The sequence below is a fragment of the Homo sapiens genome, chromosome 3 (genome assembly GCF_000001405.40).
Source record: "Homo sapiens chromosome 3, GRCh38.p14 Primary Assembly".
Taxonomy (NCBI): Eukaryota; Metazoa; Chordata; class Mammalia; order Primates; family Hominidae; genus Homo; species Homo sapiens.
In genome coordinates, this window is record NC_000003.12 from 123,969,015 (window position 1) to 123,994,388 (window position 25,374).

Sequence of the window (25,374 nt, forward strand, 5' to 3'; positions counted from 1 at the left end):
TTTCTGATCTCATATGTTTAATTGTTTATTAGTGTGTACCAGTTGTACAAGAAAATTGATTTTGGGTGGTATATGGGTTTCAGTCATTCTGAAGTACAATCATCTCTGTATCTTCCTTTAAAATTGCCAAAATTGTGCTTTTACTCCAGCTGAACCCTGGGGTTTTGGGTAAAGTCATTCACTGTGATTATACCATCAGGGCCAATTCTGTTTGGAAAAAGGTATATCTGCAGTTAGTTCATTGACAGTTAATCTTAAGAAAGACAATATGCAAACAACTCTCATTTCACATTAATTCTGCTGTTGCTCCTTTTTCTCTTTTTTTGTTTTGTTTTGTTTTCTGAGACAGGGTCTGGCTCTGTCATCCAGGCTGGAGTAACTGGTGCAATCTTGGCTCACTGCAACCTCTGCCTCCTGGGCTCAAGCTATTCTCCCAATTAACTGATACAGACACATACCACCACGCCTAGCTAATTTTTGTATTTTTAGTAAAGACAGGGTTTCACCAGATTGCCCAGGCCGGTCTTGAACTCCTGAGCTAAAGCCATCCACCCACCCTAGGGTTACAGGTGTGAGCCGCCATGACCGGCCCTCTTTTTCTTTTAACCTTTGACTGCCTGCTTCTCCTCCTCCTCCTTCTCCACTTCTGTTCCACTGGTCATAGCTAAGCGTGAGTCAGAGTTACTAGGGGGGCTTATAAATACACAGATTCCTGGGCTCTGGCCCTAGAGTTTATGATTCCATAGGTCCAGGGTGTAGCCTGAGATTCTGCATTTCTAACATCTTCTTAGGTGCTGCTGCCGCTACTGCTAGTCTCAGTAGCACTGAAAGAATTGTTTTCCTATATCATTCTTTTCCTTCCTCTTCTCCTTCCCTTTCCCGTTTTCTTTCAGATCATCCATATTTCATGTTTCTCACAATACTTTTCTGTTTCCAGAGCAGTATAATACAATAATCTCACTATCTTGGCCAGCTAGATTTCTTTTCCTGGTATTCTTTCACCTCCACTTGACAAAAGTTAACTTACACTTCCTGTTCCATGTAGTTTAGCATCCTGCTGACATGTGATGCAGAGATCTCCCCATCCACTTTGGCAATATACGTGTAGAGAAACTGGAAGGTGCTGAACGGGATCCGGGGCGACCCACCATTATGGTCACATGATAAGACCTCACACACTATCTTGAGAGTTTTGGTAATAGTCTATAAAAGTTAGATAAAATGAGGAGAAAGTTACTCTTCCAGGCAATATTCCTGAGATCGGTTTAGATACAAGAAAGAAAACAAAAATATTGCTCTTATAAAATGAAGTGGGAACAATTTAAGATTCTAGAAAGCTTGAAATTTTTACATTCAAATGTCACTAATTCATTCTAAAAAATATTAAGTATTGGGTATCTTTATTTCTTTTCTTTCTTTGTTGGAAGACTACTCAAGGAATTAAATTTATACATTCCTAAGTACTTTAAGATATTTGTTACTTTAGCCCGAATAACCTCACTAAAGGAGGGAAGTTGATTTGCATTCTATATAATTAGAATTATTTCTTCTTATTACCCTCCAGTCTTATCTCTAAAGGGCTGAGATAGATGGTCTAGCCTATATAGTCCAGCAGGATACTTGTGGCAATGACACAGTAGAGGAGAAGAAGGTAGGAGAAGGGTAATTTCCCCAGGAAAATGGAGTCCCAGGAAGATACTGGAAAAATGTTCTTAAACATCAAGATAAACGTTCCTCTAAAGCATCTGGGTCCATCTAAATAGAATCAGCTAGTGCTTTATTTCATACTACATAATACTAACCCTTTTATTGCTGGGGAAATATTGGTTGACAATGAGTGCCAGGAATTTTAATAGAAGGGTTACTACAGAAGCAAACCCTCCTTGCAATGAAACTTGAACATTAAAGGAGCATGCTCAGAACTCATCTCATGTCTTTAAATAACCCACCCTTTGAATAAATGTTACAAGCAAAAGAGTTGTGAAATGAAGGTCACCAACAGATCTTGGTGGTTTACTGAAACTGATGATGTACGGATCATCCTGACACTCTTCCAGGGATCAGTGAAAGATCAGTTCTGAGTGGTGACTTAGGGTGAGTGAAAAAGCAGCTGCTGTATCTTCCCACATGATTAGTAGAGGAGACTTGTCCTGCCTTAGCAGTTGATGTCTGCTGTTCTCCTCTCATCCTCTCCCAGAACAGAATGATTGCCTAGATGAGGCTTCTCTAACTGTGGTGTGTGTTACCCAGGAGCGTAAGTCTATGTCAGGAGGTACTGAGGATGTGAATAAACTCTTCCTTGAGTGATAGTTTTACTTGATGGCAAGTAATTTAAACATAATTTGTAATAATTATTAATTTTAATTGAGTTAATATTTCAAATTTGATTCTTTACATTTAATAAGCATTGTTATTTTATAAAACAGAATCTTCAATACATGATGTCAAAAAAAATTGAGTTTGAGGCAGGCCACCTTCCTTTCCTCTCCTCTGCCCCTGGGGGTCCTCTCATGGAAATTGTTGTGAAACACTGCATCTTCTACTCACTTTCACTTAATTCAGAGCAGGTGGGAGGGCAGGCATGGGGCCAACTAGTATATATGAGGCTGTCTGGGAGGATGGTAAATCATGCATGTGAGATGAGGTCAGTGGGAGAATGGTTTGGGGTAGATTTGCAAGCACACTCTGAACATTATAATTTCCACCCACAGCTCACCCTGTTTCTGTAAAAAACAAACAAATGAACAAAAACAACCCTCTGCACCCCTAATGCTTTGTTCTGTTGCCCTCTCCCATGGGGTGCTGGTATGGGCTGAATTGTTCCCCCTAAAGTTCATGCCAAAGCCTTAACCCCAGAACTGGAGAATGTGATTGTATTTGAACATACGACCGTTAAAAAGATAAGTTAAAATGAAGTTAGTAGGGTGTCTTTATAAGAAGAGGAGTTAGGATATAAAGAGAGAGCCACCAGACATGTAGGCACAGAGGAACACAGTTTGAGAAGCTGGCCATTTTTAAGCCAAGGAGAAATGCCTCAGAAGAAAGCAATCCTGCTGACAGCTTGTTCCCAGAACTGTCCTCCAGAACTGAGAGACAACAAATTTCTGTTGTTCAAGCCACCAAGTCATGGCAACAAACTAACATAGCGGCTTTCAACCCTAAACATCATCTTTTATTGATTATTCAAACTACAAACCTTCAAATTCTACTGCCTCATAAGATTTTTAAGTATTTTTAAAGATTTAATAAATGGATGAGTGTATAAATAACTCTTTGGACTGGAGCTATTTGGTAAACTGACATAAACCTAAAGTAAACAGATCTTCATTCTCTTGCACAATATTTTTTTGGGATCCGCTTCACAGACATAATCTTTAAGCATCTTGCGAGCTTCATTTTCAAAGTTAGAGGTGAAAGCCTTGAAATGTAAATCGTTTGCTAACAAATATGTCATTCCTTCCAGTGAACATGATTATTTTCTACATACGTGATCTCTTCCTTTTTTAATAATCAGTTCAGTGGAACAGGAGGTGGCATAGGCCAGTCCAGAGGAAGGAGTGCTGAAGGGAGGAGGAATACAGGTCTGCATGCCATCGCATTCTGAATAATGTGTATTAGACGCAGAGAGCTCAAGATGGAGTAAATGTACCTATTACCTACCAGAGTAAAAATTCCTGTTACTAGATCTTCTACAAGGAACAAACTGGCTTTTCTGAATGGCATAGAGATCTTGTCTTGCTATTGAATTGGCAAAGGAAAGAGAAATTCTGGGCTTGCCTCTAAGGATATATGAATTAACTAGGATGCAAGGTCTCCACCAGATGGTGACCCCTGACTTAGTCTCAGCTATAATAAAATACCTTAGACTGGGTAATTTATAAACAACAGAAATGTATTGCTCACAGTTTTGGAGTCTGGGAAGTCCAAGACCAAGAGGCCAGCAGATTTGCTCTCTGGTGAGGGCCTGTTCCTCATGAATGATGCCTTCTATGTGTCCTCACTTGGTGGAGGGGCAACTTTTATAAGGGCACTAATCCCATTCATGAGGGCTCCACCCTCATGACCCAATCAACTCCCAGAGGCCCTACTTTTAAGGCCATCACCTTGGAAGTTGAGATTTCAATATATGAATTTTGGGAGAACACAAACATTCACACCGTACCACTGGCCAACCCCACATTTAAGATCCCAGAAACAGTCCAGCTCCAGCATGATAGAAATGAATATAAGGGTATTGATTACTGGTTTCATAGGACACCCTTTATTTGCAGATTTAACCTCCAGGCTGACTTTATCTCTAGGGGTTCTTTGACATGGGGATGATGAGGAGCAAAGTCAGATATGTCAAGGCCTCTTAGAATTGGAGGAGCTCACTGTTATTCAGAGGTGGGCCTGAGGGTGTCTCAGAGGAAGCAGAGAAGTGGGGATAGAATCACAGGATGTCAGAGGTAGATGAACCTCATGGAATATTGAATCCCACCTCCTTATTTTAGAAGGGAAGTAGAAAGATTCAATTCACCTCATGGTTTCCCCTCTCCAGTTTGGGAGGCAGGTACATCAGAGGAAACCTAGCATCTACACCGTGGGCTAAGCAGAGGGAGGGTTGGAATCTGACTTTCCAAAGTCACTCTTTGTTACTGTGAGGTATGGGGATAAGGGAAGAACTCAGACACACCACACACTGGTGAGGGTCTGTGAAGTAGACCACCAGAGCCAGGGAGCAGATAGGACAGCCTGGCAGAGAATCAAGGAGGCCCTCGACACCATTGAGAACTGAAATGAGCCAGTTGGGGAGGCATCATCAGCCTTTCACCAGTCCGGGAGAGACGAGACCAAAAACTTAAGCTGCAAGCAGCTAGCGACCAGACAGACAGGCATTACCATGGAGACCAGAGATGCCAGGGAAGACTAAGGGATGTGAGAAACCCTTCACTTGACTGCTCTGTGGTCCTAGAGTCAGCTCTTTCTGCCTACATTCAACTGCCATCTTGGAGAAGAGAGCGTGGTGAGGAAAAACCTGAGATACTGGGAAATTTACCTTTAGGCTGTTTCAGTTACTGCATCAGACTAAAATTTCAGGATTGGATTGAATTTATTTATTTTCTTATTTGACCCTTTGTGGGTGGGGTAGACCAAGAAGATCCAAATTAACTACAGATAAAATTTTAAAGGTATATTTTCCCCCAAAAACGTCTCCAAATGTGGTGTGAAAAAAATCTGTAACCCTATGAGAATTTAATAAAATATGTTCATTTTTTATCTTCCTGTTTGTGATTTTCCCCAGTCCTGACTGACAACTCATAGGCCTCTGCTGCTTACTTTCCTTTCCTCCTCAGAGGATAGTGATTTATTCAGTAATAAATGCTATAAAGGACAATGAAGAAAGTGCCACAAATGTCCTCTTGTTTACTTCTCTCTAAAGAAATGATTATGATGAAGGCTGTAGGGGAATCTATAGGAAATTTGGACTACAATATTTCCACTAAATTTTCTCAGAAACAAACCTGTCAAATATGTATTCCAAGCATATTTGAGAAGAACAAGATTATGTTTAGATATGCTGAATGATTCAGACTACCTTTTCATACCATTTGGTTTTGGCAGAGGCAATTATTTTCTCAATAATTTTCAAACTTGTATGTATCTCAGGGATTCTTTTAAAAAAACACGTTTTTGATTCATTTTAAGTTATTTTAACAATGTTTAGCAATGTAAGTCCACATATAAGATACCCAAGCTTTAAATATCTATACATATAAGCTGATTTCAGCATCTTTGGCTTCAAAACAGTAAAATTGCATTTCCAATATCAAACAAGTCAAATTTGGAAAAGGCATAAATCTGTATGAACATCCTGCATCCATGGAGATGTCATGACTAAATTCAGAAATAGCCTCATCTCTCTTTTTTTTTGCTTTCTTATGTCTGAGTTCTGCATCCAATTCTGTTTATTACATAGTTTTCGATAAGATTGTACCCCTTTTAAACAGTGTCTATTGATATATATTCTAGGTGTCTGGAAGTCTTTTTCTACAGTCGGCTCTTGGTTGTCTCTGGGAATATGAATGGAAGGAGCGGAGTGAAAATAAATCTGAGGGCAATATTCATAAATAATCCAAGAGCTACACTGTAGTCAACTCTCCCCAGAGCCTGACCACAGTGTTTCCCTCTCTCCTCCTCCCAACCCCTGCCACTGCCTGACGAGCACAGAAATGACCTTGCTTTAGAGAGGAGAAGGACAAGAGGAGAAGAGGCATGTTTATCATCAGCCCTGCAGAGTTGACCGCGTGTATAGATGCACTGCCCTTCCAGGCCCAGAGGGAGATTTCCCCTTCAGGAACAAAAAACAGTCAAGCTAACTTACAACTCCCAGAGCGCTGCAAGCAAGGGCTAAAAACTTCAGCCACTCGATCTCCTCCGTGAAGCGACCCACATTCATCACACTATTAAACAGATCTGTTGGGAGATTCACCACTTTCCACATCTGGGCCAGCTCCTCTGCACGGATGATCAGTCTGCCAGCAACCTGCAGGGCAGGGGACAGACACAACACAGAGGTTGTGGGAGAAGTTGAGACAAGGCCCTGAGAAACACCCTGTCCCCAGGCCAGGTCCACATCTCCCAGCACATGGCAAGGGGCGGGAGGGGGTGTTAGGAAGGTAAAGATGGCTCTGTGTGGCAGTTATCTTTGCAAATCCTAGTGAAGAGCATGCTGAAATATAATTTATTAATTCTCAAACTTTAGGTGTCAGAATTATGCAAAAGATATACATTTATATTACATTTTAATTTCTGGTGATGCTTTTATCTGCTATTGTATTCCTAAATTGTTTTATTCCTTATATGACAGATAGAAGAGCCTGAAAACAAAACCAAGGGGTAGAGGGCTTACCTGAGACCACTAATGAATGGTAAAATTAGAACAAGACATAGGTCTGTTTCTTCCCGATTGCACTGAGTTCTTAGCTCTAGACCTCAAGTGCATCCCTCATGCTTTCCCAGGAATGATATGGGGTATGTGGCTGACCTGTGGGGATTTGGTCTGGATGCCTAATGTTGCTTGATCCCAGGTATTTTAGAGCTCTGTCATGTTCACTGCACAAGGTACTTGGTGGATAAAAGGAGGGAAGGTGACTGGTTGTTGGCCACCAATGCAACAAGAGCACAGATGCCCGATGAAGTGCTCCAACACCTTTCCTGACTGTCTGATTCTAGTGAAATGCTAAGCCTCTGGGACCAAGGTGGTTAGCCAAGCCAGTCCTAAATCACCCCAAACCGCTCTGTCCTGGACCATAAAGCAGGGTTTGGTGGTGCTCAACCATATGTCCTGGGAATTTGCCAAACCACAAACTTTCTCAAGCTGCACCTTCCTCATGCATTCATTCACCAGGCAGCTCCCAGGATGATGTGGCTATGAAGAGGCTCACAGCCTCTCCCTAAAAGCTAAAAGCAATGTCTGGACCTTGGATAGCTGGGGAGCTAAAATATGCCCTTCCCCAAACTGTGATTTTCATCATATTACAGTCTTGATCAGTAAGGAGACACTGTCCAGTGACTGAGGACTTGCACTTTTCTGGAGAGACGAGATTAGCATTGCATTGAGCCCCTGTACATTCTGCCAGCTTCAAGGAAATCTGGGATGACCCCACCAATGACTCAGCCTACAGCCTATTTCAAAATTATTCCCATTTGCCAAGGAAAGATTTACTTTCAGTCCACGGTTTAGTGTATTTTAGGGTGGTGCTAAGTGGTCAGCTGACTGTCAGGAGAACAGAGGGCTTTTTGTCTGTACCCACCCAGCCTCAACACTGTCCCTACATTCTCCTCAATGCTGCAGCAGGGCCCTTACCTGAGAATGCAGGATCTTTAACAGCTCAGGTGTTAGCTCTGCCCGGTTACACAAAGCGACTCGCTCAGACCGCTCTCTCACCGGAGGCGTCTCTCCACGGGACAGGGCCTCAAAATAACTACAAGAAAAAAAGTCAGAGAGTAGGAGGATCCTATACACCAGTGGCCTCTGGCTGTTCTAGCAATCCTTCCACCTTCTTCTGAGGGAAGGAGGTAGAGAAAGGAACCTTTGTTAAGTGGCTTCTATGTGTCATTGTGTTTAGTTCACTTACATATGGGAAAAGTCTGAATGTGTTACTCTCCACTTAGGGCATAGAGAATGCTTAGAGAATACAAAGCTTTGTTCTTCTCTAAGGATGAGGAAGAACCAAGAAAAGTTTGGGTATGCAATTCCCTGGAGCATATTGGGTTCAGGTTTCTTTTTCAGTCATCTCTGAGTGTTTTATACACGCAGATGTATATTACATATGTATATATAATATTGGGAAGAGAAGTTGGAAGAGAACTAAAAAGTAATGTACGTAAGAAAGGGGAAGGCAGCACAGGAATGGTGGCTAGGGCCTGTAATCTGGTGACTCCAGGCTGGAGGACCACTTAAGCCCAGGAGTTTGAGGCTGCAGTGAACTATAATTGTGCCACTACACTCCAGACTGGGTGACAGAGTGAGACCCCCATCTCTGAAGAAACAAAAAAGGAGGGAAGGGGAAGAGATGGAAGTGTCCTGGGGTGAATCAGGAAGGGTTTCTGGCTGGAGGTAGTGAGGCTTGGGGCTTCAAGAGGGAAGGGAGAGAGCATTGGCAGGGCAGCCTGCAAGGCTCAGGAGAGAAGAGAAGCCGAAGAAGGTTTGAGACAATCTTAAGCTATATGGTGCCTCTGAAATGAAACTGTTTCTCCATCTTCCCTCAAAATTTTCAGTGAAATCTGCCTGCTCCTCAATGTTTTGTGGAGTGGACTTCGTTTGGGGGCATTGTGGAACAAGTACTGAGTTCTGTTTCAGGACTGGCATAAGATGAAAAGAGGCTGCCTGCAGCAGGGAATGGACATGAGCCGCTGACATGTGGGTCACCAATGCAGCATGGCAGGGTCTGTCTCCATCAAAAGCCTGGTTATTGACGATCCATGAACCACAAATTTCTGTCCCGCCCTGCTTTTTTCCCTCCATTACTTCCTCCAGATCCAGGTAGTATGAAAATAATATAGAGGGAATTTTGTAAAAGTCCATTTCAGGGTCAAGCCATACAATGATGGGCTAACCATTGCCTGTCTCTGAGCCACGTAGCAAGGCAGAGCGAAAGCTACATGGACTAAAGCAGTAATTGCCAGTCACCCCTTGGAGGTCATCAGCAGGAAGGGCACCTTTAACAATGTGCATGAGAAATCTCTGCACACAGATCAGTGTTGGGGTGGGCGGGGTGTGGGTGCAATATGACAATAGGAGCAGGGTGTGGCCTCAGGCTTTATAAACCAGACTTGGGTGGTATAAATGGGAGGGACAGAGACACACAGCACCTCATTCCACAGAAGTGCTGCCCAGGTAGAGTAACACTCATCACCAACATCTCTGGACTTCTTGTGGAATTGGTTAGACAACATGGAAGCAAAGCTGTAATCATGGATTTCGTTCTTTGGGTTATTGAGCTTCATTTGCAAGTGATCAGGTCCATGGTTATACACATATATTGCAAATTTGTGTTGTAACACATGCCTACCAGAGGACAAATAAGTATATGTCCTGCCGATGCCTGGTAAGAGGTTTCTTCATTGACAACACATATGTAGGGAAATTCTTACTTGCAATGGATTAAAAACGTATTTTGTCTTGGAAACACTTTGCAGAGTTTTATTCTCTAAAATGCTACAGGTTTTAAGTAAGTCACATACAACCATCTGAGCAGTGCTTTTCATGTCTGGATAGAATGGAGGGGGCTCTTAGGTCATGCCCTCCTTTTTCATTGTGGTTAAACTACAAACTAAGTTTTCATGGATGTCTAAAAAAATTATAGCACGTGATACAATACGAGAGCAAGCAGTCTACAATAGTGGAATGCCTCTTCCATAAATGTCAGGGACAATACTAAGCAATGTCAGTTTGCTTACTATAAAACGGCAGCACAAGAACAATCAAATGGGTTTGAAACTAACGTATAAGATAAAGTCTGTCTATCTGACTATGCCAAAATAAATTAGTCTTCTGAAGCTAAAGTTCAATCTTAGAGGCAATATATAAAATTTAAAATGGAGAACTAAACAGGGCTCATTACTAGGCAAAGCAACCCCCATTTATGTTTCTTTTTATGAGCACCACTGGCTTATTTTCCTTCCAATTGTAAAAGCTACATCCTAATCCAGTCCAGGAGCACAGCACTGGCCCAGAGACTCCGAAAGGCCCCTCTTAGATGCCATTTTGTGTCTTCTCAAAGGTGTCCACACTCTCCCCACCATCTGCCCAGGACACCCACTCACAACCTCAGCCTGAGGACATCTTCCCTTCCCCAACTCACTGGCTTTCTCTCAACGGCCTCTCTCACTCTCACTTTCCCACTGAAACCCTCCTAAGCAGGGAATCATCAAACAGTAAAAATAGCCTGAAAATGGTCCGTGAGGTCTAGTTATCTTCCAACTCCTGTCTCAAGTCCTGGTTCCCCAGTTTCAAGCAGGCAAGTTTGTCCAAGGAGCAATTTCATAGCTGAGAGGCTTTCTGTGCAAAGCTACTTCAATCCAGGCCCGCAGCGATTGTTGTGTAAGCTCCATCTACTGAGCAGCCTCTGGAGGTCTCTCCTGAAAGAAGGCACCCGTGTTTGAGGCACACTGTTTTCAGCCATGCCTGAGGACCCCATCACTCTGCTTGGCCTTTCCCCAGAATGCAGTGTGTACTGTGCGGACATCTTTATGTTGGCAGAACAAAATCAGTTCAGAGAAACACTAAAGAAAATAACAATAATTTCCTCCAAGACAAGATATAAAGGGTCTTTGGTTGGGTCCAAGTATGAGTTTTAACAGCAGGGGAGGAAGTGTCTCCTTAAAGGAGTGAACTAGCAGGACTGGTCCCACCCCATCCACCCAGGGCTGTCGCTTCCCTCCCCCGGCTGCACTGCTGCCATCTAGTGGTGAGACAGGAGAACGAAGAAAGGCAGATTAAGCTTCGGAGATTCCCAGCCCTTCTTTCCACCGGGAGTGGGAAAAGGCGTGCAGGGAGGAGGTGGGTGTGCATACGCTGGTGTGACGCGGTCATCTAACTTGCTGCTTGCCCCAGGACACGGCCTATTGACCTGGCGTCCTACTGCTCAATCTGGCTCCCTTAGGGGAGGCATCCCATCCTTGCCCAGCTAGATGTAGCATTTATGTGTGGATTTTAAAGCATCAAAGCAATGCAAGAGCTAAAACAAAGACGATGCCAGTTAGTCCGGACTTCCTAGCTGCAGCCATGACAACCTCCGCGGTTTTACAGGACCCTCTGTCTCCGGCCGTCCTCCAAGGGGTGAAGGCGAGAAAGGAGCACGTACTCGGCTGCCCACTGGATGAGGTCCTGCGGCTGCACCCTAATGGCGGCTTTGGCAAACTCCTTCAGCATCTTCGGCAGCTCCGGCGGGATGCATGTTGGCTTATCTGTCTGAGCCATTGATTGGTTGGCCTATTCTCAGGAGAAAAAAATACGTTAAGATGAAAACTTCGATTCATACGATGAGAGCAATCCTGGACAGGAGGTCACCCAGCCTCTGTTTGACACTCAATTTTGGGGACTCTGCAAGACAAATGCATTCTATTATTACACAACGCCAAGGTTAGAAAACCATCTGCTAACCCCTACTTTTTGTTGGAAATAGTTATGTCCTTTACATAAAAATTACACAGCCCTTGTTCATTTAAAAAGTGGAGGTCAGCAAAAAATTCCCTAATGATATCGCCCCAAAATAATGATATCACCCCCCAAAATCCAGAATTTTTCAGTATATATATGTTTGTAAAATAAAAAAATAAGATTATACAAAACAGCTTATTTACTCAAAAGTATATCATGAACATCTTTCCATGTCGTCCAGCACTTATTAGTTGGGTAAGAATTGTAGCAAAATTTACTCTGAACCCTCTGTGAATTGACATTAGGCCATTTCCACATAAAAATAGTCATTAAACAGCCATTTGGTGAGCGTCTCTCTTTACAGCTGCATGTTCTTTTCCACTCTAATTGTCAGGTGGAAAATTCGTACATTTTCTCTCAAAAAGTTCCAGGACAAATTGAAACAAAATATGAAAATCCATAAAGTGTATACAATTCCCTCCACAAATAAACAACAGATCAAAAGATTTTTTTCTGCTTTTAGTAGAGAAAGGGACAGACTAGATATGCTAAAAAGCTGTCCCTCTTCAAAACACCTAGAGGCCAGACAAATCTCAGTACAAGCCTTTCACATTGCCTTGCTGGGCTTGCAGTGAAGTGAGAGAAATCTTCCAGTGGCCAATGAGGTGAGTAAAGGGGAACCCGCAGTGCTGGGCAAATGAAGAAACTAGGGCTCACCTGGGCACATGTAGATGGCAGGAACTTGCAGCTTTGAGATAAATTGCTAGGCAGGGTGGATAGAGACCAAGGATTAGGCTCACAAAAGGCAAATGTCTGGACTAAAGGACTCCCCTTCTGACCTAAACTTGAGACCCGCCCAGGGACTACACCCTCAGCGTGAAAAGGTGTGGCTGAAAATATCCGCCTACAGGCAGGGGTAAGCAACAAAGAAACCTGTCTCCATTGCTGCTTCTAGTCAGGAGAGAAACAGTCCCCCAGGAGTTGGTAGCCACAGACTAGTTCTAAGTTTTCAATTTATGCCAACACCAGCATGGCTGGGAAATCCCAAGACAAGAAACTAAAGTGGTCTTAGGTTGGTGGGACTTCATGACCTTTTACTTTATTTATGTTCTTTTATTTGGAGGAAAAAGAGGATAAAATAATGATTAATTTTAGACTTTGCAAAGTGTTAGAAAAGTTATAACAGTAATGTAACCACTAAATCTGTAGAGAGGAAAAAAGGAATTTTTTAAAAACACAAACAAGCAAACAAACAAAACCCTTCATCAGTCAAAAAGAAGGCAAGAAAGGAGGGGTAAAAACAGGAAAAGTAGACAAATAACATGGTAGAAAATAATGCATACATATCAGTAATCACAATAAAAATAAATGGGCTTAAATGTGCCAGTTAAAATACAGGTATAGGTACACCTGAAAAAATGAAGACACAGAAAGACTCAAGGTGAAAAGAGTATAAATAAGCAAAGAATAACCAATAAAAGTTAAGGTAGACATACTCATGCCAGACAAAAGATACTTTAAGGCAAAATGCACTATTAGGAAAAAAGAGTGACGAAAGCTTCAATTGTTTTTGATAAAATGATAAAAAGCTTCAATTGTTAAGACAATAACAACAATTCTCAATGAGTATGCCACAGACATCACCATGGAGGAGTCTCACCATGCTAGGTGGAAAAGCAATATATTGTTTCTGGTGACATATATATGTTATAATATTATAATAAAGAGTAAGGAATGATAAATACAAATTCAGAATGGTGGTTACCCCTGGTGGAGGAGGGAGAGGATGGAGAGGGATGTTATTAGGGAAATACAACAAGGGTCTCAGTACTATTAGTAATGCTCTATGTTTTAAGCTGGATGGTTGCTGTCTAGATGCTTGTTTCATTATTTTTATACTTCTACTTACATCATGTATTTAATTTTGTCAGTATGAAATATTTCATCATTTAAAAAGTTACTCTTATAAGTTGTTTCTGATGACTTTTCAACCCATTTTATCTATCAAAGAGCAGTGCCTTATTTGCTCATGTTGTCTGCACATATATATATTCTTTTACTGTGTTAAAAATACATACAATTTACCATTTTAAATGTACAGTTCAGTGTCATTAAGTACATTCACATTGTTGTGCCACAATCACCACCAGCCATCTCCAGAACTTTTTCATCTTCACTAGCTGAAACTCTGTACCCATTAAGTACTAACTCCCTATTCTCCTTCCCCACAGCTCCTGGCAACCACCATTCTTCTATCTTCATGAATTTGACTATCATATAAAATCATATGGCATATAATATTTGTCCCTTTGTGTGTGGTTTATTTCGCTTAGCACAATGTCTTCAGGTTCATTCATGTGGTAGCATGTGTCAGAATTTCCTTTTTTTTGGATCCATAGTCAGATGTGTTACCCATTGCACCACTGGCCCCAAGCTGAGAATTTCCTTGTTCTTAAGGCTGAATACTATTTTGCTAGATGTACCACAATTTTATCCATTCATAGGTCAATGGACAGTCGGATCATTTCCACATTTTAGCTATTGTGAATAATGCTGCTATGAACATAGGTATACAAATATGTGTTCAAGTCCTTGCTTTAAATTGTGTTGGGTATATATACCCAGAAGTGGAATGGATGGATCATATGGTAATTGTATTTTAATTTTTTGAGGAACTGCCACACTGTTTTCCACAGCGGCTGCACCATTTTCTGTGTCCATGTATTTTGACAGGATCTTTTGGTTGTGCAATTGTTTAATTTCTCTCCTGGAGTCTCAGATAATCTCGTGTAAACGAAAAGATGCCCCAATCCTAATTAAGGAAGCTTCCATGACAACAGTAACAATGTTAACCCTTAGTCAGTATAGAGCAAACTTAAGTAAAGCCTTTACTTCATCCCATTGCTGTTTCTAACAATTGGTCTGCAAGCTCTTTTCATTTTGGGGCAAGGAATCTCTTGTAAGTTTTCCATACCCATTGTCTTTCTCAGGGGTTGGTCCTTCTTTAACCTCTTGCAGTTTTTTTTTCTCTTCTCATCATTCTATTTTTCCCTTAAAAGTTATCAATTATATCTATTAATTTATTGTAAGTGCCAGGTGCACTCATAACAGGACCAGTACTGTGCTAAGTACAGGACCATACATTTTTCTCAAGTAATCCTCAAAATATCCCTATGGGGTAGAATATATTAGCATTATTTCACAGATAATGAAACTAGAAAAGATAACAGAACTTTTGCAATGACATATAATAAGTGACAGAGGCAGGATTTGAATACACATAGTCTGACATGGGAGGTGGCCTGCTAGACATGACAATTCTTTCCTTCTTGAGACTTTCTCTTCCTTTGATAGCATACGCCATTCTTGTGTGTCTATTTTCCTCAGCATTGCTCCTTTGCCTCCTTCCATAATTCCTCTTCCTCCTTCCTTGCTCTGAGGAAGAGTTAGCAATCTTCCCCCAACTCAGGTCTTCAGCATTCTTTCTGTTGCTCTTCTTGGAGAGCTCGCAGCCTCTTCACGGCTTTATCTACGACAAAACTGTGTGGATTGCACTTGTTTTCCCATCTTTGACCTCTCGCCTTGTGCTTCTATTTCATACTTCCCATTGCCTCCAGGACACTTCACTAGAATCCATTGTCCATCTCCCAACTAAATCTCTCTCCCAGGTTCTTCTCTGAACATGATACCACTAATCTCTCAGTCCTTTGGCCTCAAAGTCTGAGAGTCATCCATTTTCTTCAGTCTGCTGAATCTCACTAAATCCCACTATTTCCTTTGAAATGTGTCTTCAATTAATCCCTTTCTATTTCTACTCCTGTGTCTCTGGCTCAGCCCCTTATCACCTATTGTGCAGCCTCCTGACTAGTCTCCCTGTCTCAGGTCATTCTCTGGCCTGTCCTGTTCAGTGTGTCCAGATCTATCTTCCAAGTTGCTTTTTATAGTCAGAGAGCACTGCTCACAAAATGACAATCATATCCTGACTTTCAAGGTTTTCTATGATTTGTACCTATAATTCTAAACTAAAAATTTTCCGCTACTCTTTACCAACACAAATTTCCTATACAGTCTGCTCTGGCCACTTTCCAAAAAAAAAAATTATATATCCAAAGCTTAACACTGTCTCGCCCACTGTTAACAGTAATCTATCCTTCTTTTCTCTCTTCCCCTCAGTATTTTGCTAATTCTAGCCGGCTTACTTGAAGTGCCCTTCTTCTTTCATCTGCTTAAACCCTATACTTCCCCAGGGTTTTTCATACTGTGCCATAGGCCTTCCTAGAAAACTTGGATATCATCAAATATTGTTTGTAGTATGCATATTACCACTCAATCCTCTTCTGCCTTTCATTGCTCTCTAAAGCTGAGCTCCCCACTAGAGGCCATGGCAGAATGGGCTACAGGTGTGCCATGAAAGATTGATGGTTGTAAACTTTTTATAGTAATACAAAATGTACAACCACTTACAAACTTACAACAGTTGAAATTATATTTGGATACTGTTTGGCACAGTCAGTAAACTTCCAGATTTCATTACCTATTGTTTCTGTGCCGAAGGTTTTATGTATAACACCTGCTGCCAGAGACGCCTTTATAGGGCTTTTCCTTTCAACCATCTTGTTAAAACAATCCCTGTACGTTGGATTATTACTTTAATTGCAATGCATTTATTATCAGTGACAATGATAATCTTTATGCATATGTGTTGCAAATACTTAGCTCTACTTTTGATTTAATTTTCTCTTATTTTTCACATTATTTTCTCCTAACAAAGAAGTTATATGATTTTTCTTCATCATCACCATCACCATCATCATCATCATTTGTCCCTAAGAAAACAGTAGATTTTGTTCACTTTTTTTCCCATTGTGACTTGATTTGTTTGTGACTTATTTATTCTTGGCTTTTGATGTTAAACAAATATCCAAAATCTGATACTTAATGGACTTTTGTAATGACTTGTTTGTTTACAAAAATAATAAACATTTGCCTCTAAAAAAATAATAGAAAATAATTTAATGATTTAGTAAAGGAGACTCTAGGCCTTCAGTAAAGTCTTATAAAAATATTTTTTGGCTGGGTGCAGTGGTTCACGCCAGTAAACCCAACACTTTGGGAGGCTGAGGTGGGCGGATCACTTGAGCTCAGTTCAAGACCAGCCTGGGCAACATGGTGAAACCCTGTCTGTACTAAAAATACAAAAATTAGCCGGGCATGGTGGCACATGCCTATAGTCCCAGCTACTCAGGAGGCTGAGTTGGGAGGATGAGGTTGCAATGAGCCAAGATCACACCGCTGTACTCTAGCCTGGGTGACAGAGCAAGACCTTGTCTCAAAAAAAAAAAAAAAAAAAAAAAAAATCAAAATATTTAAATTATACTTGAAATAAATGATATTTATATTTTGTGAAAATCTAGAATTGTAATTACTAAATTAAATAATGTTTCCAAAATTCCCCCTTTACTTACCAAATGCTTAAGTTTTCAAAAATTTCATGTGATTTATTTAAAAATATTCTTAAGGACAGCCATATTTTCTTTGAAAACTGATTTGTTGTAGTCAAAAAGGCCTATAGTCTCCTTAAGTACTTTATATATATTATTTACTTTCCATCATAAAAGGTAATTTAAAATTAAATATTAATAATTTTTATTAATATTATTACAAAAATGGTTTCCAAAGTCCTCAGGGACATACAAAAGTTCCTGAAATGACCACACAGTGGCAGAGGCAAGGCAGCTATTGTGGGGAGCAGGGGTCCCTGATGGAGACTGTGTGTGCTGTTGCACTGGAGGTGGTGTTGAATGGGGGTGGGGTGCTGGCCGGTGCAAGTCCAGGTGACTTCTCTGTGTCCTGCAAGCAGGGGTGGTTGCTTAGGGTGGAGGAGGATCTGCTGTTCTCTGCACAGTGTTAGCACGAGGGAAGGTGTTGGCAGGGGTGGTGCTTGCTGGTTCTGTACCCTCCAAGGCTCTGTCTGCAGTGGCAGTCAGTGGGGGTCAGCAGGGGTGGACTACACTCTTGTGTGCTGGCGGGGCAAGTAAAACAAAACCTGCCTGTGCAGACATGGGCCAGCAAAGTGATGTGGGTAGTTGTTGTGGGCTCAGGGAAGCTGTAGTATGGGGAGGGAAAGTACTGGCTGCAGCATGCAGCCATAGGGGCCACCTTGCTGGAGCTCTCCACTGATCAGGCATGGTCCACCAGTGCAGAAGCTATGGTGTGGACCCCCAAGGCACCTGAGACTGCCCTGTAAGCAGGCATGGCCAGGCTTGTGCCTGGAAGAGGCCAGCAGACCAAGGGGTGCTCAGATCAGACCAGCCCCATCTGATGAACAAGACCGCCCTGCAGAGATCAGGTCCAACAGTTCCCCTACAGCTAAAGTCTCTTATTGGAGCAAGTTGAGCCTAGTGGAATGGCCATCCCTGGCCATGCTGTACTACAAACACTCCCACACCAAACTCTCTGGGGTCCACATCAGCTGGCTTGCTGCCCTACTTCTCTAAGCAGCTCTCCCTGCCACCTCAAGTTTCTGTGGTGACTGAGGGGTCCCCTCCTTCCAGGGTTCCAGTGGACCCTGGTGAGAGCAGGTTGCTCCTTGCTAGTTCAACTCACTCGTTCCCCCAGAGCTGTTGTGGTTCAAAAATGAGCTTCAGTGTATGGTAGCCTGTATGGGGTTCCCAGCTTTCTCCCCCTTCAGCCAAGCTTCTGTGCCTTCCCTCTGTCCACTGTCTGTGCCTTCCCTCTGAAGACATGTTAAAAGCACTCCAGTCATCTCAGTTCCTCTGTGGGAGCTGTTCCACTTGTCTGCGTCTAGTTGGCCATCTTGCCCTCCAATAAAATTTCTTAACCACTCATGTTTTTACATAACTCTGAAAAACGTTTAATGGATCTTCATCTCTTTTCTTATAAAAATTATGCCCTGTCTGACTTTCAAGATCTCCCCAATTTGCCTTATTCGTATTAACTTTCCTTCTTCAACTGTGTTTCACAGAAGCCTGGATCTTTTTCTATCCTGAGACAAACCCATGGCCAAGTCAACACAGCATTTGGATGCCAACAGCAATATTGCTAAGAGCAGTCCTACTTGACCTTGTCCTTTTTTTGAGTAGTAGTTTTTGGCTTTATTAGCAAATTTCCCAAACTTGCTTATATATCATGCTAGTATTACCTCTTGAAAGCATGAGTTCTACATGTTTATTATTTAACAAATGAATAGGTACCTCTTTTGGTTTATCTAAGCCATGCTCATATTTCAAAGATTTCCCTCGTGTTCATTCGCATCATCATCCACAATTCTAGGGACACATGGCTCATTTACAGACTGGCATGTAAACTATGTCCTGTAAAGTTGTGCAACATGGTTCCCTGATTTGGGGACCTGGTGTACACACTTGGGTCACCTTAGCCCTGTCTTATATAAGAGTATGAAAGTCTTTATTAAGAGTAAGTGTCATAATACCCCACACCATTTTCATCTTTTACTTGTCCTTCCTACATTTTTTTTTTTTTAGATGGAGTCTTGCTCTGTCACCCAGGCTGGAATGCAGTGGCATGAGCTTGGCTCACTGCAACTTCCACCTCTTGGGTTCAAGCAATTCTCCTGCCTCAACCTCCTGAATAGCTGGGACTACAGGTGTGTGCTGCCATACCTGGCTAATTTTTGTATTTTTAGTAGAGACGGGTTTTCACCATGTTGGTCAGGCTGACAATCAGGTCAGAAGGACAATCAGAAGTTGTCCTTCCTACTTCTGATTTCATTATAGCATTCCTGTGAGTCAGAGATTTAAAACCTACAAGCAAGGGCTCTGAGGGGGTGAATGCACTATAGTTTCCAATATAAGATTAGGGCTATGTTTCTCTTCAGTTTCCATTACCATTCCTGATGATATTCAGCATTGCACTGGCCTTTTCCAAAGCAAAACATAGGGCTGCTATCCTTCGTAGCTAGTTGTGGCATAACATCTAGAGGGCAGATGAAGCTGTAGTGAAGAAGCACTCTTGACTGTGAGGCAGGAGTCCAGGATTTTGGCCCTGGGTCTATTTATGACTAATTATGTGATCCTTAGGAAATCATTAATCTGACAAAATTTATGTGTTTTATTGGAATTGTGCTGAATACTGGGATACATGAATAAATAAGTCACACACTCTGCTTCATGGAGCTCACAGTCCAGTGGAAGAGAGTGACAGGAAAATCAGTGACTCAAAGAAGGTATAATAAGTGTCAAGAAGCCTGCACTAGATATAGAAGAACAGAAGAAAAACAGAAGAAAAACTCTTGGATGAGGCATCTAACATCTGCAGGTATTAGAAGGAGGTCAGAAAATACTTTTCAAAGAGTGGTGATATCTGAGATATCTGAACTGAGACTTGGAAAAACCTGGTTTGTTCATTGCTGTACTGCAAGCCCTCAGAAGACAGCCGGGTACAGGGCAGGTATTCAGTAAGCATATGTGTACTTATGAGAGTAAGGAGAGAATTTCATGTAGGTAGAAGGACTTAGGCAAAGATGTGGGGTTGTCAGAAACGTGACAAGTTCAGGGAACTGTAATTATGGAGCTCTAAAGTGGACAAAGCAGGAGTGGTTGGGCCTAAGGCTGGAAATATAGCTCAAGGCTTGGGCTTTTGAACTTTTTGTTGAAGGCAATGGGGAACCACTAGAAAATTTAAGCACAAGAGTCACACAATCAGTGTTAGCTTTAGGTCCGGTTATCAATATTTGCCTCTCAGCTCCAAATTCACCTTGTATTGCCTCCTCCACAAAAATTGAACTAGGTCCTTTAACATTTTTTCCCTTGTCAGCTGTCATAAGGATATGCTTTGTTAGGACAGGGCACTGGAAGGACTGGAGGAGGAAGAGGTTTCTCTTAGGAATTTAGGTATGCTCTTCTTGCTAGGCTCCAGGAACTTGTAGTTTCTCCTATGCTGGGATCCTGTAGCACACAGCTTTTCTAGCATCTGTTTCATGCAGTGTGTGATCTTTTGAGTGCCCAACTGCTGGAGTACACAGTGGCTATCAGTGCTCCATGGCTAGCAGTGTCCCCTGGCACCTCTCTTGGGAAGCTCTATAGCAGAGTGCTGTCAGTGAGTTACCTTTTAGTGAATGGCTTCTCTGGTGTTTCAGAGAGTAAATTTTGCCTGCCTGGCACCTCAGCAATTTCTCTGCTCTCCAGTCAGCTGTGGCCATCCCCTATGCACCAAGCTCTGGGAAAGGTTTCTTCCTTGGGTGATCTATCTCAGGGGTAGTGGTTGCCCCTTATATCTGTGATTCCTGTATATTTTAGATCTCTCCTGACATATTAGCCAATCCTTCATTACTCCAATCCCATCATTAACAATTCTTTATATTGAACTTCTCTTGTTAAATTATATGCTCAAAAAATTACTATATGATTTATTTCTCTTTGTTGGACTCTGAAACACGTTGACTGACAGCTGTGTGGATGAGCTGAAGAGAGGATGGTGAAGCTTCAGGCAGGGAGCCAGGTTAGGAGAATATGGCAGCACTTTTGACAACTCCCAGGAGCTTCACTGCCTTGAAAAGTAGTTGCAATAGGGAGTGATATAAGAGACAAGTATTTAGGAGATAGGATCTACAGGATTTGGTAACTACTGAAGGAGGAGGAGGAGGAAGAAAAGAGGAGGTGGAGGAGGAGGAAGAAGAGAAGGTGGAGAAGGAGGAAGAGGTGAAGGACAGAAAAGTCTAGAGTGACTATCAGTTTTCAAGCTTGGATGACTGGGTGCACAGTGGTGGTACCCTTGTAGAAATAGAAAACACTAAAGGAGGGTCAGGTCAAATTATCCCCCCATGTTCCCATTTACTTTCAGGAGTTCCATGCACTTTTGAATCACAGAGTTGAAATCATAGACTCTCTGAGTTGAAGAGGCACCAAAGCCCAGCTTTCCTGCCTTTGGGCAATAAGGGTCATTTGTTCACATCAAAGAAGTGGGAGAAAGGTCCATTCTATCTTAACATTCCTCAATTCTAACATTTTGTAAAGTTATTTTCCATTTTTAAATCTCTTGATAGTGTAGGTCTTCTTCAATTATACATTCCAGAGCTTATCCATAACCCCAACTCTTTCAATTCAATGCATTTCCTCCTAAGTGAAACCTACATGCCTCTCAATGTAAAATGGAGGCCAACATATACCTGCCAAGTGCTGAAGAATGTAGGTCTTAAAATAGACTATAGCCTTGTTTCAGGGATCTCTCACTTGGTTTTATTGGTATGGGCTAAACAGGGCTTCCGTTTCATAAATGAAAGTCTCCAGTAACATGAATGAAAGGCTCCAGGGCAGAATCTCAGAGGGTTTCTATGAGTATCACTTGGAACCAAGCACAGGCAACTGCACATCCCTGTTTGGGTTTGGAATTGGAGATGGTGGGTTTGGGATGTGGTTACTCTTGTTTGGAATACATTCTCCTCCTCTTAACAGGTTGATTCTTCCTTTGGAGGTCTGCTTAACCTTCCCTGATTACCCTGTCAGTTCCATTGTACATACCCTTCCAGAGCATCACTTACCTATCCTTAGTGTGATTCTTTGAGTAACATGTGTCTCCCCCAGCAAACTCCACGGCAGGACTGGTCAGTTTTTGCTCACCACACCATCCCAGTGCCTAGCCCAGTGCCTGGAACTTAGTGTTCAATAGGTACTAGTAAAAATGAATGCGTGATAGCAGTCTATGAAGTGCTAGCTATAAAATGAACACGTGATAGGAGTCTATGAAGTGCTAGGTATAAAATAATGCGTGATAGGAGTCTATGAAGTGCTAGGTATAAAATAATATGTGATAGGAGTCTATGAAGTGCCAGGTATAAAATAATGCCTGACAGGAGTCTATGAAGTGCTAGGTATAAAATAATGTGTGATAGGAGTCTATGAAGTGCTAGGTATGCCCATGACATCCACATGACAATTCACCCAGAGGTATTTTTATATCCCTGTCGCTGATGAAAAAGCAGAGGTGTGGCTCCTCGGTGGAGGGCTCTGATTCCAAACTCTTGAGCCTCCCAACCACTGTCCTCCGGGTAAGAAACCGTATAATAGTATTCTGGGTACAAAATACGCACACAAATTGGCCAGAAAGCCATAATCCCCCACAGTCACATTCTCTTGAAGATCCCCTTGCCTTCCCCTTGCCCTGTGAACAAGGAGAGGCTCAGAATCCAGGGGGCGTCCGGCAGGGCTCCTCCCTCAGACCAGCGCAGCCCTCGGGGCGCTCAGAGCCCTGCCCTCCCTCCACTTCCCCTCGGGGTGGCTACCTCAGGCTCGCTCCCAAACCGGCTGTCTGGCTTCAGGCGACACCTGGCGCCTGGCCTCAGGCGAGAGGTGTGGGGAGAGACCGAGTGCCTCCCACCCTTCTTAAGAAGGAGAGCAGTAGAACCTCGGCGGGGAGGGCAGCAGCGGCCGGGGGTGACAGCAGCGGCGGGGCACGACCGCCGTTAGCGTTAGACGTTAGCGCTCCGCCTTCGCCTGGCAAACCCTGCGCGGGCTCCGCTGCCAGGTCACCAGGGGTAGCGCCGGGCGCGACGTCACAGAGCCGCCCCGCCTCTCCTGCAGCGGCGGGTTCCCAGGGTCCCGCTAGGGCGCTGCTAGGGGACGCTGAAAGCTGTTTTGGGCTTTGCTGGTGGTGGAAGGACCAGACGGCCTGGAGGGTTAAGGACTGGGCTGGGGACGTTAGGAAACCCGGGCTGGGGGCGTTGGGGGTGGGGCGGAATGTGTAGCCATTGACGGTGCGCTTTTGTAGGTGAGAGGGCAGAAGTGGAGCTTGATCTTTCGGCTTGTGGAAAGTGGACAGGTGAGAATTCCTCAGGAATCATAGTAACAACACTTCTTACAATGAGTTTTTGGTGCCAGGAATTGTTCTAAGTGCATTACACACATGAACTCATTTCATCCTTACTGTCACCCCATGAGGCAAGTACTATTGTTATCCCCATTTTTACAGATGAGGGAACTGAGCACAGAGAGGTTAAACTTGTCCAAGATGACAGTCAGCAAGTGACAGAGTCAGGATCTGAATCTGGGTTGCGTGGTCCCAGATTCCTCACTCTTGACCTTATAATGCTAAGAAAGGGGCATGGAGTGGATAGGAACAGAGCCTGAGATGCCTGGGGACAACAGGGAAAGATAGAAAATATTTATAGGGTAGAATGTGGTCACTGTGCCAGGGCACTTTTACAAACATGATGACATCAAAGTTTCACAGTAAACTCTGAAGGTAGGTATTACCTTCGCTTTGGAAATAAAAAACAGGCTCAAGGCTTCGAGTAATTTTGCCTGTGATCGAACAGCTGGCAGTAGGGCTCAGGGCCCAACTTTACTCCAGGTCTTCCGGTTTCAAGACTGTGTGTGTGTGTGTGTGTGTGTGTGTGTGTGTGTGTGTGTGTGTGTGTGTGTTTTGAGACAGGGTCTTGCTCTGTTGCCCAGGCTGGAGTGCAATGGGGTAATCATGACTCACTGCAGCCTCAATCTCCTAGGTCTAAGCAATCCTCCCACCTCAGCCTCCCAAGTAGCTGAGACTGCAGGTGCTTGCCACGATGACAGGCTAATTTTTATATTTTTATAAACGGGGTTTTGCCATGTTGCCCAGGCTGGTCTTGAATCCCTGGGCTCAAGTGATCCACCTGCCTTGGTCTCCCAAAGTATTGGGATTACAGGTTTGAGCTACCGCACCTGGTCTCAAGACTGTTCGTTTTAAGCACCCAAGGAGGCAAGAAAAGCCCCATCTTTCTCTGCTACATCCCGTGTCACTTCACACCTATTTTAAAGGGGCCCATTGCATCATCTAATCCTTCATTCCATTTATACAACAGTGTGTATTAGTCTAAATAGATTAGTTCACCCAGGCCCTTCAAAGCTTTCTCTGTTTGTGAGATGAAAGCCTTTGTCTCTCCCTAAAGCAATTTTAAGCATCAGTGAACAAGTGGGGGAACTAGATTTTTGGGTTACGCATGCAGAAAGCTTTTCACAGCCTGTTGTCATCCATTTGTAAAGAGGCCACTCTGCTGGCATTTGTCAAAATCCTGTAGGTCCTTGCACACCTGGAGAATCCTGGATGGTCTGGGGATGGCCACTGCCCACAGGGCAAGATCTGGGGATGAAAGAAACCTAGTCACTAGCTATCACCTGCCTTTCTGAGGCCTCTGTGGAGGGGCTGCCAGGTGTTGGTATAGGCACTTGACAAACAGGGTGTGCCTTAGGTTGGGAGGGGGAGGCTGGAGGCTTGAGGGCTGCAGGTGCATCTTCCAGGATAACAAGAATGCTCTGGCCACTGGGGTCTGTTCTGTTGTATGCACATGGGATAAAGGTGTGCCAATCTCTTCCTGCTTTCATGCAGAGTAAATAATGCTGACAGGAGTGAATAATAATGATCTTTGTGCAGAAGAAGGGGTTTTTCAGACAAAGCACTAGCAGCTAGAGATGGGAGATGAAACAGAATAGAATTTTAGTGTAGCAAGTTAAACACAAGGGAGGAATTTCATGGGACTGTCTGACTGAGGCGATTTGATGTCTGTCTGTAGGAGGCCAGGTTGAGAGGCCTAGGTTAGATTATCCTTGATCTGTTAGTCAATAAATATAACAGGATACAGTCAAGAGAATACAATTTTACAGGAAAATGATAATAACATAATTCAGGAAAGTTGCTTTCTTCTAAAACAGAGGTAAGAGTAGAGAGGGAGGAGCACATAGATGTTACTGGTAGTGGTCTAGTTTTGGGGTGGGTGA

At 42.9% G+C, this 25,374-nt stretch overlaps 1 protein-coding gene across 12 annotated transcripts, besides 2 other annotated features; it reads right to left on the reverse strand.

The window, feature by feature from the left end:
- Positions 1-23,110, reverse strand: ROPN1 (rhophilin associated tail protein 1). 12 transcript variants are annotated; one of them, NM_001394219.1, is made up of 8 exons: positions 22,908-23,110; positions 22,167-22,279; positions 12,365-12,410; positions 11,352-11,479; positions 7,850-7,967; positions 6,365-6,526; positions 1,028-1,203; positions 1-207 (listed from the first exon to the last, which is right to left on the reverse strand). In NM_001394219.1, the coding sequence occupies exons 4-8, from the start codon at positions 11,465-11,467 to the stop codon at positions 141-143; spliced, it is 639 nt and encodes a 212-aa protein (NP_001381148.1). In that variant the 5' UTR covers positions 11,468-11,479; positions 12,365-12,410; positions 22,167-22,279; positions 22,908-23,110; the 3' UTR covers positions 1-140. The 12 variants fall into 12 exon arrangements, 7 of the variants coding, with proteins under 7 accessions (NP_001381148.1, XP_047304326.1, NP_001381146.1 ...); XM_047448370.1 differs by having other exon boundaries at positions 11,352-11,590; positions 22,167-22,297; NM_001394217.1 differs by lacking the exon at positions 22,167-22,279.
- Positions 11,226-11,725: an enhancer, noted in NCBI's record as "H3K4me1 hESC enhancer chr3:123699087-123699586 (GRCh37/hg19 assembly coordinates)". NCBI's record gives its function as "activates a minimal SCP1, AML or CMV promoter by ChIP-STARR-seq in primed H9 embryonic stem cells {active_cell/tissue: H9 hESC(primed)}" and the evidence as "EXISTENCE:reporter gene assay evidence [ECO:0000049][PMID:30033119]".
- Positions 22,882-23,398: an enhancer, noted in NCBI's record as "H3K4me1 hESC enhancer chr3:123710743-123711259 (GRCh37/hg19 assembly coordinates)". NCBI's record gives its function as "activates a minimal SCP1, AML or CMV promoter by ChIP-STARR-seq in naive H9 embryonic stem cells {active_cell/tissue: H9 hESC(naive)}" and the evidence as "EXISTENCE:reporter gene assay evidence [ECO:0000049][PMID:30033119]".